The sequence below is a fragment of the Homo sapiens genome, chromosome 22 (assembly GCF_000001405.40).
Source record: "Homo sapiens chromosome 22, GRCh38.p14 Primary Assembly".
NCBI classification, from domain to species: domain Eukaryota; kingdom Metazoa; phylum Chordata; class Mammalia; order Primates; family Hominidae; genus Homo; species Homo sapiens.
This window is the reverse complement of record NC_000022.11, coordinates 44,816,670-44,836,031: the sequence shown is the minus strand read 5'-3', so window position 1 is coordinate 44,836,031 and position 19,362 is coordinate 44,816,670. Positions and strand designations below refer to the sequence as shown.

General features: G+C 48.4%; 2 protein-coding genes across 4 annotated transcripts in view, besides 1 other annotated feature; both read right to left on the bottom strand.

Moving 5' to 3' along the window:
- PRR5-ARHGAP8 (PRR5-ARHGAP8 readthrough) overlaps positions 1-19,362 on the bottom strand; it is a 160,581-nt gene that overhangs the window by 26,753 nt on the left and 114,466 nt on the right. The window contains exons 9-10 of the mRNA NM_181334.6: positions 13,563-13,661; positions 10,439-10,549 (exon numbers count right to left, since the gene is read on the bottom strand). Of these exons, the coding sequence (NP_851851.3) occupies positions 10,439-10,549; positions 13,563-13,661 (210 nt within the window). The remainder of the gene's footprint in view (positions 1-10,438; positions 10,550-13,562; positions 13,662-19,362) is intronic.
- ARHGAP8 (Rho GTPase activating protein 8) overlaps positions 1-19,362 on the bottom strand; it is a 110,210-nt gene that overhangs the window by 26,753 nt on the left and 64,095 nt on the right. For all 3 annotated transcript variants that reach the window (NM_001017526.2, NM_181335.3, NM_001198726.2), the window contains 2 exons: positions 13,563-13,661; positions 10,439-10,549 (listed from right to left, as the gene is read on the bottom strand). In NM_001017526.2, the coding sequence (NP_001017526.1) occupies positions 10,439-10,549; positions 13,563-13,661 (210 nt within the window). The remainder of the gene's footprint in view (positions 1-10,438; positions 10,550-13,562; positions 13,662-19,362) is intronic.
- Positions 15,158-15,257: a silencer, noted in NCBI's record as "silent region_13870". NCBI's record gives its function as "represses an Ori minimal core promoter by ATAC-STARR-seq in GM12878 lymphoblastoid cells {active_cell/tissue: GM12878}" and the evidence as "EXISTENCE:reporter gene assay evidence [ECO:0000049][PMID:35858748]".

Here is a 19,362-nt window from a genome sequence, read left to right as displayed (position 1 = left end):
GAGGTTCTGGCAAGTCAGATTGGCACACACGGCTCAGAACCAGAGCCTATGGGAGGCCAGTGTCCCACCCTGGAGGCCGATCGCAAAGAGAAGGATTGTATAGTCTCCAGACAGCCACATGGTACAGGAGACCGAAGAAGAGCATATCCTACGCACACAGGAAAAAAGAGACTAGAAAGACAGATACTTACCAGTTCTTTTCTGACAAAAGTGAACACTGGCTCAGTTAACACCTTGGCTCTGGGAGATAAGGAGAAACTAAAAGGGCCACATGGTCCTGCTTGCTAATAAGATCACCATCAGATCAAGTTTCTTCCAGTGGCAAAGAAGGAGTGTTAGCACGGGGTGGAAGACAACACCCAAAAGTTGTATTCTCTGAAGAGTTTGCAAGTCCCCAATCCTTCTTTTTCTTGAGACTGATTCTCACTCTGTTGCCATGCTGGAGTGCAGTGGCGCGATCTTGGCTCACTGCAACCTCCGCCTCCCCGGTTCAAGTGATTCTCCTGCCTCAGCCTCCTGAGTAGCTGGGCCTATAGGCGCCTGCAACCATGCCCGGCTAATTTTTTTTGTACTTTTAGTAGAGACGGGGTTTCACCATGTTGGCCAGGATGGTCTCAGTGTCTCGATCTCGTGATCCGCCCACCTCGGCCTCCCAAAGTGCTGAGACTACAGGCTTCAGCCACCACGCCTGGCTCCACAATCCTTCTTAATTAGAACTAGATGGTTATAAATTAAGATATAAATTCTAATCCCTAAGGCAACAATTGAGAAAATACTTTAAATATATATATATATATATAGCAAAAGAAACAAAAAATTGAAACAGTACACTAGAAAGTATGTATTTAACACAAAAGAAGGTATTAATGAAGACATAAAGGAACAAAAAAGACATATAGAAAACAAATAGCAAAATGGCAGATGTAACTCCAGTAATCACACTAAATGTAAATGGATTAAATAATCTAATAAAGAAGGTGGAATGGGGAAAAACATGACCTAATTATATGCTGTCTGCAAGAGACACAATTTAGATTCAAAGACACAAATAGGTTGAAAGTAAAGAGATGAACAAAGATACACCATGCAAACAGTAACTAAAAAGAGCTATAATGGCTATATTAATATCCGACAAAATAGACTTTAACACAAAAATTGTTACTAGTGGCAAGGAAGGACATTTTTTTTATCATCATGCAAGGATTCATAAGAAAGTAAGAATCATAAAAATGTATGCACCTAACAATACAGCCCCTAAACATGTGGAGCCAAAACAGACATAATTGAAGGGAGAAATAAATAATTTTAAAATGATACTGGAGACTTCAATCCCCCACTTTCAATAATAAATAGAACAACTAGGCAGAAATTGACAGAGAAACAGAAGACTGAAAAATACTAAAAACCAAGTAGACTTAATTGACATTTATAGAGCACTCCACCCAACAATAATAGAATGTACACTCTTCTCATGTGTCCGTTGAATATTCTCCAGGCTAGACCATATGTTATACCACATAACAAGCCTCCATACATCTGAAAGAAGTTAAATCATACAAAGTAAGTTATCTAATTATAATAAAATAAAATTAAAAATCAAAAACAGATATGTGAAAATTTAACAACAGACTCCTAGAAATCAATGAATCAAAGAAAAAAATTACAAGATAAATTAGAAAATACTTTAAGATTAATTAAAATCATGGAAATAATACACTAACAGATACATCTATTGCAGGACTTAGTAATTTATAGCCATAGATGCTTACATTGCAAAAAGCAAGATTCTAAAATGATAAACATTCCACCTTAAAAAACTGGAAAAAGAAAATGAACTAAATCTGACACAGGCAGAAGGAAGAAAATAATAAAGACTGGAGTAGAAATAAATAGAAAATAGGAAAATAACAGAGAACATCATCAAAACCAAAAGTTGACTCCTTGAAAAGATCAACAAATTGACAAGCTTTTAGCTAGACTGACCAAGAAAAAAAGGGTGAAGATTCAAATTACTAAAATCAGGAATGGAAGAGGAAACATTACTAGTGACATTATACAAATAAAAGGATTATGAAGTACTATGAACAATTACATGCCAACTAATTAGAAAACCTAGACGAAATGAACAAATTCCTGGAAAGACACAAACAATCAAAATGGACTCAAGAAGAAATATAAAATCTGAATAAATATAACAAGCAAAGAGGTTACATTAGTAATTTTAAAACTTCCCACAAAGTAAAGCCTAAGATCAGATGGCTTCAGTGGTGAATTCTGTAAAATGTTTAACAAATTAACTCTAATATGGTACAAATTCTTCCAAAAAATAGAAGAGGAGGAAACACTTCCCAACTCATTCTGAGGCCAGTATCACCAAAACCAGACAAGGATATCATAAGACAAGAAAATGACAAACTAATACCTCTTATAAATATAAATACAAAATCCTCAACAAAATACAAGCAAAGCAAATCCAGCAATATATGAAAAAGATTATACACCATGAACACAAATGATTTATCCCAGGAATACAAGGTTTATTCAACATGTAAAAATCAATCAATATAATACACCATATCAACAGTATAAAGGACAAAAGCCATGTGATTATCTCAATGGCGATGAAAAGCATTTCACAAAACCTAACACCTTTACATGAACAAACCAACCAACCAACCAACCAACCACTCAACAAACTAGAAATAGAAATGATGTTCCCAGCCTGGGCAACATAGTGAGACCCTGTCTCTACTAAACACATTTAAAAATTAACCAGGCATGGTAGTATATACCTATAGTACCAGCTACTTGGGAAGCTGAGACAGGAGGATCACTGGAGCCCAGGAATCTGAGGTTGCACTGATCTATAATTGCACCACTGTGCTCCAACCTACGCAACAGAGGGAGACTCTATCTCAAAAAAAAAAAAAAAAAAGAAAAGAAAAGAAAAGAAAAAAGATGGTTCTTAACCTGATAAAGGGCATCTATGAAATGCACACAGCTAACATTATGCTTAGTAGTGAAGGACTGTTGATTCTTTTGTGTGTGTGTGTGTGTGTGTGTTTTTAATAGACACAGGGTCTTGCTATGTTGTCCAGGCTAGTCTTGAACTCCCGGCCTCAAGTGATCCTCCCACCTCAATCTCCCAAATAGCTGAGAATATAGGTACATGCTGCTTAGCCCAGCTTAACTGCTGATTCTTAAGATCAGGAGTAAGACAACCATGTCTGCTCTTATCATTTTTATTCAACAATGTATTGGAGGTTACAGTCAGGCATAATCAGGCAATAAAAGGCAATAGGTTGAAAAGGAAGAAGTAAAGCCATCTCTATTTGCAGATGACATGATCCTGGATATAGAAAATTCTAAAAAATCCACACACAAAAATATTAGAACTAATAAACAAGTTCAGTAGGGTTGCATGATACAAGATCAACATATTTAAAAAATGTATTTCTAGAACCTAGCAATCAGTAACAAAAAGATAGATTAAAAATTACATTGACAACCGGGTGTGGTGGCTCATGCCTATAATCTGAGCACTTTGGGAGGCTGATGCAGGCAGATCACCAGAGGTCAGGAGTTTGAGACCAGCCTGGCCAACATGGTGAAACACCATCTCTACCAAAAATACAAAATTAGCCAGGCGTGGTAGCACACACCTGTAGTCCCAGCTACTTGGGAGGCTGAGGCAGGAGAATCACTTGAACCCAGGAGGCAGAGGTTGTAGTGCGCCAAGATTGCACCACTGCACTCCAGCCTAGGCAACAGGGCAAGACTCTGTCTTTAAAAAAAAAAAAAAAAAAAAATTACATTGACAATAGCATCACAAATTAAAAAAAAAAAATTTAACAAAAAAGTTCAAAAAACTGGTACAGTGAAAACCATAAAATACCACTGAAAAAAAGTTAAAAGACCCAAATAAATGGAAAGACATCCCATGTTCATGGATTGGAAGACTACTATTTTCAAGATGGCAATACCCTCAAAATTGGTCTACACACCCAGGACAAGCCCTATTGAAATCCCAGCTGCCTTTTACAGAAATTAACGAGCTGATACTAAAATGAATATGGAAATTAAAGAGATGCAGAATAGCCTAAACAATATTGAAAAAAAAGTTGGAGGACTCACAGACTCACACTTCCCAATTTCAAAACTTACTACAAAGCTACAGTAATCAAGATTGTGTGGCACTGGCATAAGGATAAACATATAGACCAATAGGCAAGAATTAGAGTGCCCAGAAATAAACCCTCATGTTTATTGGTTTTTGACAAGGTACCAAGACAACTGAATGGGGGAAAGAAAAGTATTTTCTTTTCTTTTTTTGGAGATGACTTTTGCTCTTGTCACCCAGGCTGGAGTGTAATGGCATGATCTTGGCTCACTGCAACCTCCGCCTCCCAGGTTCAAGCGATTCTCCTGTCTCAGTCCCCGGAGTAGCTGGGATTACAGGTGCCTGCCACCATGCCCAGCACATTTTTTTGTATTATTAGTAGAGATGGGTGTTTCACCATGTTGGTAAGGCTGGTCTTGAACTCCTGACCTCAGGTGATCCACCCGCCTCAGCCTCCCAAAGTGCTGGGATTATAGGCGTGAGCCACCCTGCCTGGCCAGGAAAAGTCTTTTCAACAAGTGGTGCTGTAACAACACGCAAAGAAGCAAATCAGACCTCACCTCACAACATGTAGAAAAATCTACTCAAAATGTATCAAAGACCCAAATCTAACCCCTAAGTGGTAAAACTCTTGGAAGAAAACATAGGCATGAATTGTCACGGCCTTGAATTTGGCAATGATTTCTTAGATAAAACACCAAAAGCACAAGCGACAAAAGAAAAAAATAAATAAATTGGACTTCATCAAAATGTAACTTTTATGCTTCAGAAAATACCATCAAAAGGTGTAAAGACAACACATAGGACGGAAGAAAACATCTGCAAACCATACATCTGATAAGGGCCTAGGGTCTAGCATATATCAACAAATCTTTACAACAATGAAAAGACGGTCCAAACAAAAAATGGGCAAACGATCTAGTGAATATACATTTTTCCAAAGAAGGTAAACAAATGGCCGATAATACATGAAAAGATGCTCAACAGCGTTAGGCATCAGTGAAATGTGAAACAAAACTATAATGAACTACACTTGACACCTACTAGGATGGCTACGATAAAAAATAAAAACAGGCCAGGCGCGGTGGCTCACGCCTGTAATCCCAGCACTTTGGGAGGCCGAGATGGGTGGATCACCTGAGGTCAAGAGTTCGAGACCAGCCTGGCCAACATGGTGAAACCTCGTCTCTATTAAAAATACAAAAAAATTAGTTGGGCATGGTGGCACATACCTGTAGTCACACATACTCGGGAGGGTGAGACAGGAGAATCGCTTGAACCCAGGAGGTGGAGGTTGCAGTGAGCCGAGATCGTGTCATTGCACTCCAGCCTGGGTGACAGAGCAAGACTTTGTCTCAGAAAACAAAACTAAAATAAATAAAAGAAAATAAAAAATAAAAATGCAAAAAAAAAATTTAGCTCGCATGGTGGCAGGCACCTGTAATCCCAGCTACTCAGGAGGCTGAGGCAGGAGAATCATCCGAACTGGAAGGCAGAGGTTGCAGTGAGCCAAGATTGTGCCACTGCACTCCAGCCTAGGTGATGGAGCGAGATTCTGTCTAAAAAAATAAAAATAAAAAACAGTAACAGCCGGGTGCAGTGGCTCACGCCTGTAATCACAGCACTTTGGGAAGCTGAGGCGGGTGGATCACCTGAGGTCAGGACTTTGCGACCAGCCTGGCCAACACGGCAAAACCCCGTCTCTACTAAAAATACAAAACTTAGCTGGACTTGGTAGCGTGCACCTGCAGTCCCAGCTACTCGGGAGGCTGAGACAGGAGAATTGCTTGAACCCAGGAGGCAGAGGTTGCAGTGAGCAGAGATCGTGCCACTGCACTCCAGCCTGGGCGACAGAGTGAGACGCCATCTCAGGGAAAAAAAAAAAAAGAGAGAGAGGAAAAAAAAGAAAATGCCAGAGCTCAGCCATGACCTGCCCCACCCAGCCTAAGGACATCTCAAGCTCTGCCCTGTACCTGCCTCCCCCAGGTGCCCACACAGGCCTCAGGTTTCCATTTTTCCTTTTCAGGGATGGCAAGCAAAGACCTCTTGAATCTTTGACTTCCCTTTAATATATTAACTTCATTAGCTCATTCTAAGGTGATAGCTTTCTGCTGTAAGCTTTTGAACTTGGCAAATTAACATTTGTGAATAGGATTCAGTTATGAATTTTAATGACTTTCATTCATTCATAGTCCAAACAAATTACATATCTAGTGCTTCCTTTAAAATGTTTATTGCCATTTTATTATAATCATTGGCAATGAAACCACATAAAATATTAATTTAAAGAGGCAACTGCAGGGATTCTCTCTCCAAGCTGCACGCGCAGTGTGGCCCATTGTCCCAAAAGCAGCTAAGGACCGGACTTTTACAGTTACAACTGGCCCTGGGAGAGGGATGGACTATGGCAAAGTGACAGTTAAAGCCAACAGCCCTGCATCAGTACGTTCTGAAAGGCACCTGCTCAGAATGCAGGGCTAATGGTATCTCTGGTAGCCTTCTAGGAGCCGAGAGGCCTACAGCCATGGCTAACAATTTTCCCACACTTCACTCAGGTAGACGGCTTTCGAAGTCTGTGAGCTATGCTTGTTTTTTCTTTTTCTTTTTTTTTTTTCTTTTTTGAGAGGGAGTCTCGCTCTGTCTCCTGGGCTGGAGTGCAGTGGCAAAATCTCGGCTCACTGAAACCTCCGCCTCCCAGGTTCAAGCAATTCTCCTGCCTCAGGCTCCCGAGTAGCTGGGATTACAGGTGTGTGACACCATGCCCAACTTTTTTTTTTTTTTTTTTTTTTTTTTGTATTTTTAGTAGAGATAGGGTTTCACCATACCGGCCAGGCTGGTCTTGAACTCCTGACCTCAGGTGATCCACCCACCTCAGCCTCCCAAAGTGTTGGGATTACAGGCATGAGCCACCGCACCCGGGCTTTGTTTTTCGTTTTTAAAGTTTTGTTAGATGATAAGAAGAGAGAAGTGGCTCTAAACAATAAGATAAGAGACGAGAAAGGCGTGGCTGGAATCTCCCAGCTAAAGACCCACCCCTGGGACCCTGTGTGCCACAGCACATGGAAGCAGTATCAGCCCAGCAGAGCCCCAGTAACGGGCTGGAGACACAGGGCTTCAGGAACGTGGGGAAAACGGTCACCTGATGGCTGGAATATCCTGGCCCGGGCTAGGTGTGCTGGCTGACGCCTGTTATCCCAGTAGGAGGCCGAGGCAGGTGGATCACTTGAGATCAGGAGTTCAAGACCAGCCTGGCCAACATGGTGAAACCCTGCCTGTACTAAAAATACAAAAAAAATTAGCCAGGTGTGGTGGCGCACGCCTATAGTCCCAGCTAATCAGGAGGCTGAGGCAGGAGAATTGCTTAAACCCGGGAGGCGGAGGTTGCAGGGAGCCGAGATCCTGCCACTGCACTCCAGCCTGGGCAACAGAGTGAGACTCCATTTCAAAAAAAAAATTGTCTCAAAAAAAAAAAAAAAAAAAAAAAAATTCTGGTCTGCTGGCTGAGCCTGGTCAAGGGCTGAGTTCTCACCAGTGCCCCCAGGAGGGGACCGAGGTCACTGCAGGTGCCTGCCCCGCCCAGCATTCCTGGGCGGCCCCTAAGGGGTGGTGGGAGTGCAAGAGTTGTTCGCACCCGCAAATTCTCACAATGTCTGAAAAAGGAAAAGGAAGTACTATTTGGTAGTAAAATGTGTGTTCCAGATATATTTGGGGTGAACATTCTATTTCAACATATAGTCTCTTGCTCATTTATTGGCAAAGTGCTTACAAAATGTCTTAAGTACAACTCCTCGTGTGTGCGCCTAGTTAGGGAAGGCGAGGGTGAATCGGTCAGAGCTGTGCAGTGCAGTACGACAGTCAAGTCACATGTGATGATTCTAATTTAGTTAAAATGAAATAAAATTAGCAATTCAGCATCTGCACTAGCCGCACGCGAGCACTGGCTACCATACTGGACCGTGCAGACCTCGTCCATCCTGACAGAGAGTTCCATCAGATAATGCTGGTCTAGGGACCGACGCTGGGGCACCAGCAGTCCTCTTTAGCTGTGATACACCCGAGATGCCCAGCCAACTTCACATTTGCACTCCAGGCCCGGCCCTCTCCTGGGCTCAAGCACCCTGGAAGCAAACTTGCTAGCTCTGGGAACAAGATTTAGACACACTTCCCTCCCCCTATACTCGCAACTACCCACCACTCACTACCACCTACTTTATTTTCATGTGGTCCCAGTAACTACCGTCAACTTGGTAGCTTAAAACAACACAAATGGGCCAGGCGAGGTGGCTCACACCTGTAATCCTAGCACTTTGGGAGGCCGAGGCAGGTGGATCACCTGAGGTCAGGAGTTCAAGACCAGCCTGGCCAACATGGTGAAACCCCGTTTCTACTAAAAATACAAACATTAGCCAGGCATGGCGGTGGGCGCCTATAATCCCAGCTACTTGGGAGGCTGAGGCAGGAGAATTGCTTGAACCTGGGGAGCGGAGGTTGCGGTGAGCTGAGCTCACACCACCGCACTCCAGCCTGGGGGACAGAGCGAGACTGTCTCAAAAAAAAAAAAAAAAAAAAAAAAAACCACCACCCAAATGTATTATCTCACCACATCCTGGAGGTGTCAGGAGTCAAAAAGGGGTTGACCTGACTGTGTTCCACCTGGAGGCTCCAGGGAAGAATCCATTCCTTGCCTTTTTCAGTTTCTAGAGGTGCCTGAGTGCCTTGGCTTCTGGCCCCGCACCCCTCCGGCCTCTGCTTCTGCTGCCACATCTCCTCTCTGACTCTGACCCTCCTACCTCCCTCTTGTAAAGACGCTGGCGATTGCTTTGGGCCCACCAGAGAACCCAAGATAACCTCCCATCCCAAGATCCTTTACTTAATCATTTCTGCCAAGCCCCTTTTGCCATGTAAGGTGACCTAATCACAGGTTCTGGGAATGAGGGCATGGACTTCGTCGGGGGCCATGATTCTGCCTCCCTCCCTGGCCTCCCTGAGCTCCTCCACTCTTGGCCAAGAAAGAAACAGGCAGGTCCCCAGGGCCGAATCCACTTCCCTCTAACCCCAGGAATGCCCCTGCCCACATGGCTCAGTAAGGGCAGGTGACCGATGCACCTCCTCCCCTGGCCCAGATGCCGCCCAGAGCCTCCTCAGTTCTCAAAACCTTTCAAAATGTTTCAAAATCTACCCTGGGTGGCCAGGTGCAGTGGCTCACACCTGCAATCCCAGCACTTTGGGAGGCTGAGAGGGGTGGATCGCTTGAGGTCAGGAGTTCGAGACCAGCCAGGCAACATGGCCAAACCCTGTCTCTACTAAAAATACAAAAAAATTAGCCAGGCGTGGTGGTGTGCGCCTGTAATCCCAGCTACTCAGGAGGCTAAGGCAGGAGAATAGCTTGAACCCAGGAGGCGGAGGTTGCAGTGAGCTGAGATGGTGCCACTGCACTCCTGCCTGAGAAGCAGAGCAAGACTCTGTTCCCGCCACCCCAAAAAAAGGTAGTATAACAGGAATAAGGAAACAAGCTGAGAGAAGAGGTGAGTTCAAGGTCATGTGGCTGATAAAGGGTATTAGGAAGGACAGGTTACGCTGCGGTAACAATGACCCTTAAATCTCAGCGGCTGAGCCCAGCACAAGCCTGTCTTCTCTATGCCTGTGTCCAGCCTGGGTGTTAGCAAGGTGCATGGTGATGCGGGGATCAGGGATGCAGAGTGACCACGTGCCGTCTCTACCGGACCCAGGCCTATACATCACCATGAGAGGCAGCTGCCCACTGGCTCTGGAAGCTTCCTCCTAGCACGACACACCCCACACCTACACCTAAGCACATCCCATGACCACGCCCTCCTTGAAGGTGGTGGGAAGTGTCTGTGTACCCGGAGGGCAGGGGGCAGCAGTGATGGAAGCTGGGGCGGGAACCCCAGAGACCCCCATCCACTACCCACTGCCGGTCCCCCCAATCAGGCACAGAGCAGTGACACGCACCCCCCCGACCAGGCACCCAGCACGCGCCCCCCCAACGAGGCACGGAGCAGCAAGCACGCGCCCCCCAACCAGGCACCGAGCAGCGAGCACGCGCCCCCCAACCAGGCACCGAGCAGCGAGCATGCGCCCCCCAACCAGGCACCGAGCAGCGAGCACGCGCCCCCCCAACCAGGCACTGAGCAGCGAGCCACGGCCTCAGTGATGAGCTCAGGCTTTATCTTTCCTGCAGGGTTCAGCTTGGCTGCTGGAGACAAACGTCTGGGGAAAATATTTCTGGACCCAGAAGCGCCCCACAGCTCCCAGGGCTCCAGGGCATAGGAGCAGGCACATCCCCGGCTCACTTACTATTGCAGACTGACGCCAAACTGCTGTGTGGGCAGCGGGGGCCGCGGCGGTGGTGTCTTGGTGGGAGGCGGCGTCCGGCCCTCGTGCAGGCTCTGGAGCTTCTCATCGTACCTGTAGACACAACAGAGGCTGGGATCTCACCTGGCAGGGGCAGCTGGCAGCCACGGAGGCGCTGGGTGGGGCTGGATGCCCCACCTGCAGGACACCTGGGCATCTCATCCCTCTGGGCGCACGTGCCACACTGCCAGCTCACACACACACTCACATACACACAGTCACAATCCCCCATTGCTGTGGGCTGTTCGCATAAGAGGCAGTAGTCCAACCTCCAGCAAATGTCCAGTCTCTCCTGAGGCCCCTGGCCAGCAGAGCAGCCTCACCTGCTTACCATGCGGTCAGCCCCAAGGTGGGCGTGACCACCCTCAGCTCTCGCAAGTGTCTGAATTTAAGACGAGAGCTGGCCGGTAATGCTAAAGGAACCTCGTCCCTTTTGTTAATTACTTTATCCCCAGTGCCTGGAAAGGGCTTGCTGCCTACTAGATGCTCAATTAAAATATTTGTTGAATGAAACAAGAAACCCATGAATGAACAGATGGACTCTGAAAAGGATGGATAAACTCTGAAGGAGGTGGTTAAAGCCTTCGGGTGAAAAGAACCTCTGTGCTCGGCACGGTGGCTCACGCCTGTAATCCCAACACTTTGGGAGGCCGAGGCAGGTGGATCACTTGAGGTTAGGAGTTTGAGACCAGCCCGGCCAACATGATGAAACCCCATCTCTACTGAAAATACAAAAATTAGCTGGGCATGGTTGTGCACACCTGTAATCCCAGCTACTCGGGAGGCTGAGGTAGGAGAATCACTTGAACCCAGGAGGTGGAGGTTGCAGAGAGCCGAGATTGCGCCATTGCACTCCAGCCTGGGCGATAGAGCAAGACTCCATCTCAAAAAAAAAAAAAAAAGAAAAGAAGAAGAAAGAAAAGAAAAGACCCTCTGTGCTCAGGTAACAGTCCTTCCTTAACACAGGCAAATACGTATTGAAGCCCTACTATGTGCCGGGCACTGTGCATACAGCAGGGACCCGGCCACAGGATGGGGGGGCACATGACCATTAGTTGGCAGCTCGGGAGTGAGGCAGTCAGTGACACAAGATGGTGCAGGGTTAGGCACCCGACAATGCAGGAAAGGTCTGCGGAGAAGGTGGTGCACTGGACTGAGCCTGGCCAGCCAAGCACGTGTGAGCTGCTACCACGTGCGGTTGTTTTTTGTGAGTTAATCACAGCGCTCTGCGCCCCAAGTGGCTCCCCAGAGATGTCTCGGTCCCTCATGAGGGGCCTACTGTAGAGGGGTTATTTTGTCTACTTTACAGATTGGGAAACTGAGGCTTGTCAAGGTCTGGTGACATGCCCCAGGTCACAAGCTGGGATGACAGCCAGGATTCAGCACCCCAAGGCCCTGCCCTGCCGCTGTGCCAGTGGGTCTCAGCCTCTGGTGCTCGCAGCACCCACCAGGAAGTATGTGGGGGTGGAGAAAATCCAGACTCAGCCCCACCCCCAGTCTAGAAGCTGCTCATTTAAAAGCATCAGCATTGGACGTGTCCTCTGGGGTTCTGCTGCATGGCTATGGAACAGGGGTGCCGGCTGCCTACTGAGTAAGTTCAGGAGCTCCCAATGCCCAAGCCCAAGCCCCTCTCCCAAACCTCATCCCCTCTGACTCACAGGACCCTGCACCCTCAGTGTTGCCAGCCACCTGCACATTCCAGAGGCCCTAGACTGCACCCAGTACCCACTGAGAAGCCGGAGCTGCGTGTTTCACAGATGCCGTCCATTTCATCCCCAAATCACTCTCCCACACAGGAGGATGTGAGTTACCCTTTGTCACCAGACCAAATCACTTCCACCACAGAGCTGCTACAAATACATCTTCTGAGCCGTCTCCATGGACTCCCCCGGATCACTTTAGTGAGGTCTGGGAGTGGGGTCTTGCCAGGGCCCACGGGCGACCAGGGATTCCCATCATCCTCTCATGGCCTCCAGGTCCAGTTCACTCTCCTCTGCTTGGCACCAAGGACTCCCGGCCCAAGGTGACCTCCAGCTTCACGTTCACCAACTTCTGCCTGATCACATGGGACTTCTCACTGCCTCCAGATCTCCCAATATTTCACCCATATGTTTGCAGGAGGGCTTCCCTCTGCTGGAAATGTGCTTCCCTGGCCTCTTCATCTAGCCAACTGTCCCTGTGAAACTCACTTTAAGAGCTACCTCCTCCTAGAAGTCTTCCTGGATTACCCCCACACACCAGTCCCCTCCCCAGCTGGGTTCTGTGCCTCCTCTGGCCCCTGTCATCACTGATTTGTGGCCCTCACTAGTCTGAGAGTGTCATGAGGGCAGAGACCACACTCCCTAAACACCTCTATATCCCAGCACCTGCCATGTGACTTGGCGTCCGGAGAGAAGTTATTATCTCCATTACCCCTGCAAGGCTACCAGCCTTCCCTGCACGTACTTTGGCAAGGGCCTGCTCCTTCAAAGGAGCGCCTCAGAGAGGGAGACACAGGGGCAGAGGGAACCCAGGCTGGGGGTCCAGAGACCCAGGCTGGATCTGGCCGCGCCCTGTACTGGCTGTGTGGCATACGCCTTTCTGGGCAGCCTCTATTCATCTGGGCCTACATTTAAGCCTTGTAGCAGACACACCAATTAAGCTTTCAGCATCCAGGAGACAGGTCGTTTTCTAGAGCACCCGTGACGTCCCTGAGAACACTTCATTCTGTACACAGCGTTATCCACACGCCTGGGAAATTCTCCTAATTTTCTGCTCAAAAGCAAAAACGGTAAACACCAAGGCAACAAACGGCCGTTGCCATGTTAGGGCTTATTTTTTAAATCAGTTTTGCAATGGTGGGCGAGGAAAACATCCCGTCCTGTATACAACCTTTGCCATTTCATTTCTCTGAGTCAGCAGTTAGCACCTTTTGCTGCGGATCTTTGTCGATGCCGCAGATTTCTGAGCCAAATCTAGCCAAGCACACATTTGGAAATCAAGCCTTAAACATTCATGGGACTGAACCAAGCCCTTTGGAAGCACGAAGATGTATTGATGCGGCTTCTGGGGTCTAACAGGCACTTACCGCAAAACTTCGGGAGGGATGACCAGCTGGTCGTATTTAAGGTGTTCGTGGAGCTCACTCAGGTAGTTGAAATAGATGACTTTCTTCCCAAACTTGTGACTAAGAAAGCAGAAGCAAGAGAATAAAGAACGATTAGGCGCCAGCAGAGAGGCCGAGGGTTGCAGGGAGGGAGGGGGAGTTGGCGGCAGAACAATGCAGGCATTTTTCATATTAAGAAAATGTAAACGCTGACACGACTTAAAACCCGAACATAACACAAGCAGCGCACGCCGGGAGATATTTTGCTTTCACGAGATCTCCAATGCACCAAACACGCTGGAGTGGCTCATCTGCATAAAAATAAATATCTGCCTCCAATTTACATCTGCCCTGAATTTGCATATAGGAGATAGCGCGGAAGTGCCAAGAAGCGCTTTTGGGGGATGCAGGCTAGACAGGGGGCACTAAGCCACTGGCACAGAGAGAGCAGCTCTGAGGTTGAAGCCTGCCCCAGGGCAGCCTCAGTTGCTCGCGGTTTTGGGGTCAGTGGTGGCTTCACATTTGGCCACCTCTTCTAAGGAGAGGAACCAATGAGGCTCTCCAGGTTTGTCTCCAGGACAGTCTCTCGGACCCCAGGGAGCAGCGCAGCCACAAGGCCAGACATGCCCTGACCAGGTGCAGCAACTCCGTCTTCTCCCTCCTCTTGTGCCCCAGGGCAATTCACTCCCTCTCAGGGCCTGGGTCTGAAAGTGGGGGTTCTCCCTCCTAAGTGAGGGCGGAAGACAATGCAAGGCTATTTGCAGGTCTAGTCCACTGCCTGACGTCTGGTGGACATGCTCGCTGTGACGACTGCTATTAGTAACAAGGCTCAGCATGAATTGCAAAGTGGGGATCATTGACAGATGGATGCGAGCACGCCTTTATAAGAAGCCTGTAATCCCCGCCTTCTTTATGATAGTCTAGGTTTGGTTTTTGCCATAAATATATCATTTGAGTTTTATTTTGGAGGACAGTATTATTTCTTTATTGTATATGTTTAAGATATACAACTTTTTTTTTTTCGAGATGGAGTCTCGCTCTGTCACCCAGGCTGGAGTGCAGTGGTGTGATCTCGGCTCACTGCAAGCTCCGCCTCCTGGGTTCAAGTGATTCTCCTGCCTCAGCCTCCCAAGTAGCTGGGATTAAGGTGCACACCACCACGCCTGGCTAATTTTTGTATTTTTAGTAGAGACGGGGTTTCAACATGTTAGCCAGGATGGTCTCGATCTCCTGACCTCGTGATCCGCCCGCCTTGGCCTCCCAAAGTGCTGGGATTACAGGCATGAGCCACCGTGCCTGGCCAAGATATACAACTATTAATGTGGGTAAAGAATTATGTTGTTACTGGAAAAGGAAAGTTATGTATTCAGCCAAACCGAAGATATTTTATGTTATTTTATGACAATTTGAAAGTCTTGAAATAAGTATTCATGTATTTTCAATGTCGTTTATTTTGTGAAATCAAAATAATTCAAGTTACCGTGGCAAAAACAAAAAATACGGAGATCATGACAGGTAGGAGAATCCAAAGGGACAGCGGCCGCCCAGTGCTCAGCCCAAAGCTCAGCCCACAGCTCAGTCCAGCGCCAGCACCAGCGCCAGGTGGTTCCTAAAGGAGCCCCGAGGGAGGCCGAGCTGTGTGCACTGGCTCCCCCTAGTGGACGAGAAAGAATCGGACCCGGGGGCTGAGGGAGGAGGGCGGGGATTGCCAGGTTTCTGTATTCAAGGACACTGCCAGGTAGGCCAGGGAACCCGGGCTGAAGGCTGGGGCTGCAGAATAGCCACCAAAGTGCAGTGTGCCCCTCACCCCAAGCACAAGGGGAGGGAGGAAAGCGGGGCCTGCCTTAGTGCCTGCACCCCAGCCCCCGGAGGGAAGGGGCTGGTGGGACCCCTGCAGGAGTGTCCTCACCGCCTGCCCATTTAGACGCCACAGGACTCGGGGACAGTCTGGTCTCTGCTGGAAGGATGCCGGAGGGTGTCCCCGGGGCTGTGAAGTACTGTCAACGTCCTGTGTGATGGGCGGGAGGAACCCACTAAGGGCAAAGGGAGTCTTGCCCCTCTGCAGGAACCATTCTCAGGGACAGAGGTGCCCGCTTCAGAGCTGCAGGGAGGCCTCCCATGCCCAGCCCCTCACCTTCCTCTCTGCAACCTCCCTGACCTGTCCTGCAGGCCAGGCTCTGCCAAACACGGACTCTGGGACAGGTGCAGCCAGGGCCCTGCCACTTGCCTCTCCTCTCGGGAAAGGGCCCACAGGCCAGCTCAGCCAGGGGCTCCCAACACGGCGTGCGGCAGAGTTGCTGGGGTTTTGTTAGACCTGCAGCCACAGGCACCACCTGCGGGGATCTGAGTCAGGAGGTCTGGCGAGACCCAGGGCCTCAGAGTTCCTCTACTTCCTTCATTTACAAATGAGGACTTGGGAAACAGAGAGGTTATGTGGCTGCCCAAGATCTCACAGGCAATGGGCTGCGGAGCCCAATCTGGGCTCCAGAGCCCCAGCCCAATTCCTATGGTCCTCTCCTGGCAGCTGCTTATGTCCAGGCATGAGGCAGAATGAGGGGTAGAACCACACAGGCTCAGGTTGGATCCCAGCCCACGCCCCCTCTCATGGTGCGACTTGGGCGTAACCTCTCTGAGCACCAACCTCCTCTTCTTTGGAATGGGGAAAATGTGGCTGACTTCACAGTACTGTTTTGCGGTGCTGGCACATAAGGTGCGTAAGATATTGGAATCAAATTAATACAAAAGGGTAGTTTTAAAAGATTTTTTTTTCTTTTTTCTGAGGTGGAGTTTCGCTCTTATTGCCCAGGCTGGAGTGCAATGGCGCGATCTTGGCTCACTGCAACCTCCGTCTCCCGGGTTCAAGCGATTCTCGTAGCTCACCCTCCTGAGTAGCTGGGATTACAGGCGCCTGCCACCACTCCCCGCTAATTTTTTGTATTTTTAATAGAGATAGGGTTTCGCCATATTGGCCAGGCTGGTCTCGAACTCCTGACCTCAGGTAATCTGCCCACATTGGCCTCCCAAAGTGCTGGGATTACAGGGGTGAGCCACCACGCCCAGCCAACTTAAAAACATTTTAAATCAGGGCCAGGTGCAGTGGCTCATGCCTATAATCCCAGCACTTTGAGAGGCCGAGGCTGGAGGATTACTTGAGGTTAGGAATTGGAGAGGAGCCTGGGTAACATGGCAAAACCCTGTCTCTACTAAAAGTTCAAAATTTAGCTGGGCATGGTGGCGTGCCTGTAGTCCCAACTACTTGGAAGGCTGAGGTGGGAGGATCACCTGAGTCCAGGAGTTCGAGGCTACAGTGAGCCGTGATGGCACCACTGCACTCCAGCCTGGGCAACAGACTGAGACCTTGTCTCAAAGCAATGAAACAAAACAAAACAACAACAAACAAAAAACACAGTACTAGCAGCTAACATTGAGTATTTGCCTGGCAGGCCCTATTCTAAACAGTCAACATGGTGCGCTCCTATAATCCCAACACTTTGAGAGGCTGAGAAAGGAGGATCACTTGAGGCCAGGAGTTCCAGTCCAGCCTGGGCAACATAGCGAGACCCTGTCTCAACAAAAAATTGTTTTAAACTAGCTGGGCACAGTGGTGCGCACCTGTAATCCCGGCTATGTGAGAGGCTGAGGTGGGAGGACCACTTGAGCCCAGGAGGTTAAGGATGCAGTGAGCCATGATTGCACCACTGCACTCCAGCCGGGCTGATGGAACAAGAACCTATGAAAAAAAAAGAGAAAAGGAAGGAAGGAAGAAAAATAAAATAAACACTATATGTATTAAGTCAGTGAATTATTATGACAATGGAATGACTTAAATAGCCTTGTCAGCCACATGGGGAAACTGAGGCAGAGAGGGGTTGGCTCTTTTGTTGAGGGTAATGGGTAATGGATGGCAAGGGGCAGAGCAGTCGAGCCCAGGCAGTCTGGTGCCATCACCATCACGCTGCCACGTGGAAAACAGGAGGAGCAGGTGAATTTTTTTTTTTTTTGAGACTGGAGTCTCACTCTTGTTGCCCAGGCTGGAGTGCAATGGTGTGATCTCGGCTCACCGCAACCTCTGCCTCCTGGATTCAAGTGATTCTCCTGCGTCAGCCTCCCAAGTAGCTGAGATTACAGTCATGCGCCACCACGCCCAGCTGATTTTTGTATTTTTAGTAGAGACGGGGTTTCACCATGTTGGTCAGGCTTGTCACGAACTCCTGACCTCAAGTGATCCTCCCATCTCGGCCTCCCAAAGTGCTGGGATTACAGGCGTGAGCCACTGTGCCTGGCCAAGCAGGTGAACTTTTTTTCCAAGAACCTTAGAGGTTTCTAGAACTCTTAAGTACAACAAAGTCTGACTCTGTCGCCCAGGCTGGAGTGCAGTGGTGCTATCTCAGCTCACTTCAGTCTCTGCCTCTCGAACTCAAGCAATCCTCCCACCTCAGCCTCCTGAATAGCTGGGACTAAGGTACGCGCCACCATGCCTGGCTGATTTTTATCTGTTTTGTAGAGGCGAGGTTCCGCCATGTTACCCAGGCTGGTCTTAAACTCCTGGGCTCAAGTGATCCACCTGCCTTGGCCTCCCAAAGTGTTGGGATTACAGGTGTGAGCCACCATGCCTCGCCCTCTAAGGACTTTTCTCTGTTTTTTGAGATGGAGTTTCGCTCTTGTCACCCAGACTGGAGTGCAATGGTGCAATCTTGACTCACTGCAACCTCTGCCTCGTGGGTTCAAGCCTCAATTCTCCTGCCTCAGCTTCCTGAGTAGCTGGGATTATACGCGCCCACCACCACACCCGCTAATTTTTTGTGTTTTTAGTAGAGACGGGGTTTTGCCATGTTGAGCAGGCTGGTCTTGAACTCCTTACCTCAGGTGATCCGCTAGCCTCAGCCTCCCAAAGTGCTGAGATTACAGACGTGAGCTATTGCGCCCAGCCCCTCTAAGGACTTTTCTAAGGTAAATGACAGGACTAGCTTTTTTGCTATGTCAAATATGTCACATGTCACATAGGGCACAAGGGTGCTGGGCCTGGTTAAACACAAACAAAACCTCACCTTCCAATAGGGGAATGTGTGCGGCATAGGCCAGTAGGTGAGAAAAACTGGCAGGAAATTCTAGTGACATGAAAGGAGCTCTTTGGCCCCAAAAATCTCTCCTTCTATTAAGCAGGAGCTGACTCAAGTCTGCTGCTCTGGGAATTCTCCCAGTGTGCCTCAGGACCACACGATTCAGTCCCTGGAATGACAGCTTTGGGAGCTGATAAGAAAAGAAGGCCGGGCATGGTGGCTCACGCCTGTAATCCCAGGACTTTGGGAGGCCGAGGCGGGTGGATCAACCTGAGGTCAGGAGCTTGAGACCAGCCTGGCCAACATGGTGAAACCCCGTCTCTACTAAAAACACAAAAATTAGCCAGGCGTGGTGGCAGGTGCCTGTAATCCCAGCTACTTGGGAGGCTGAGGCAGGAGAATCGCTTGAACCCAGGAGGCAGAGGTAGCAGTGAGCCGAGATGGCGCCATTGCACTCCAGCCTGGGGGACAAAAGCGAGACTTCGTCTCAAAAAAAAAAAAAAAAAAGAAAGAAAGAAAGAAAAAAGAAAGAAAAGAAAGGCTCCAAGCCGCCTGGCAGGGCAGTTCTTTTTTTTTTTTTTTTTTTTTGAGACAGGGTCTTGCTTGTTGCCCAGGCTGAAATGCAATGGCACAAACACAAGCCACTGCAGCCTTGAAGTCCTGGACTCAAGCAATCCTCCTGCTTTGGCCTCCCGTGTAGCTGGGACCACAGGCGCATGCTA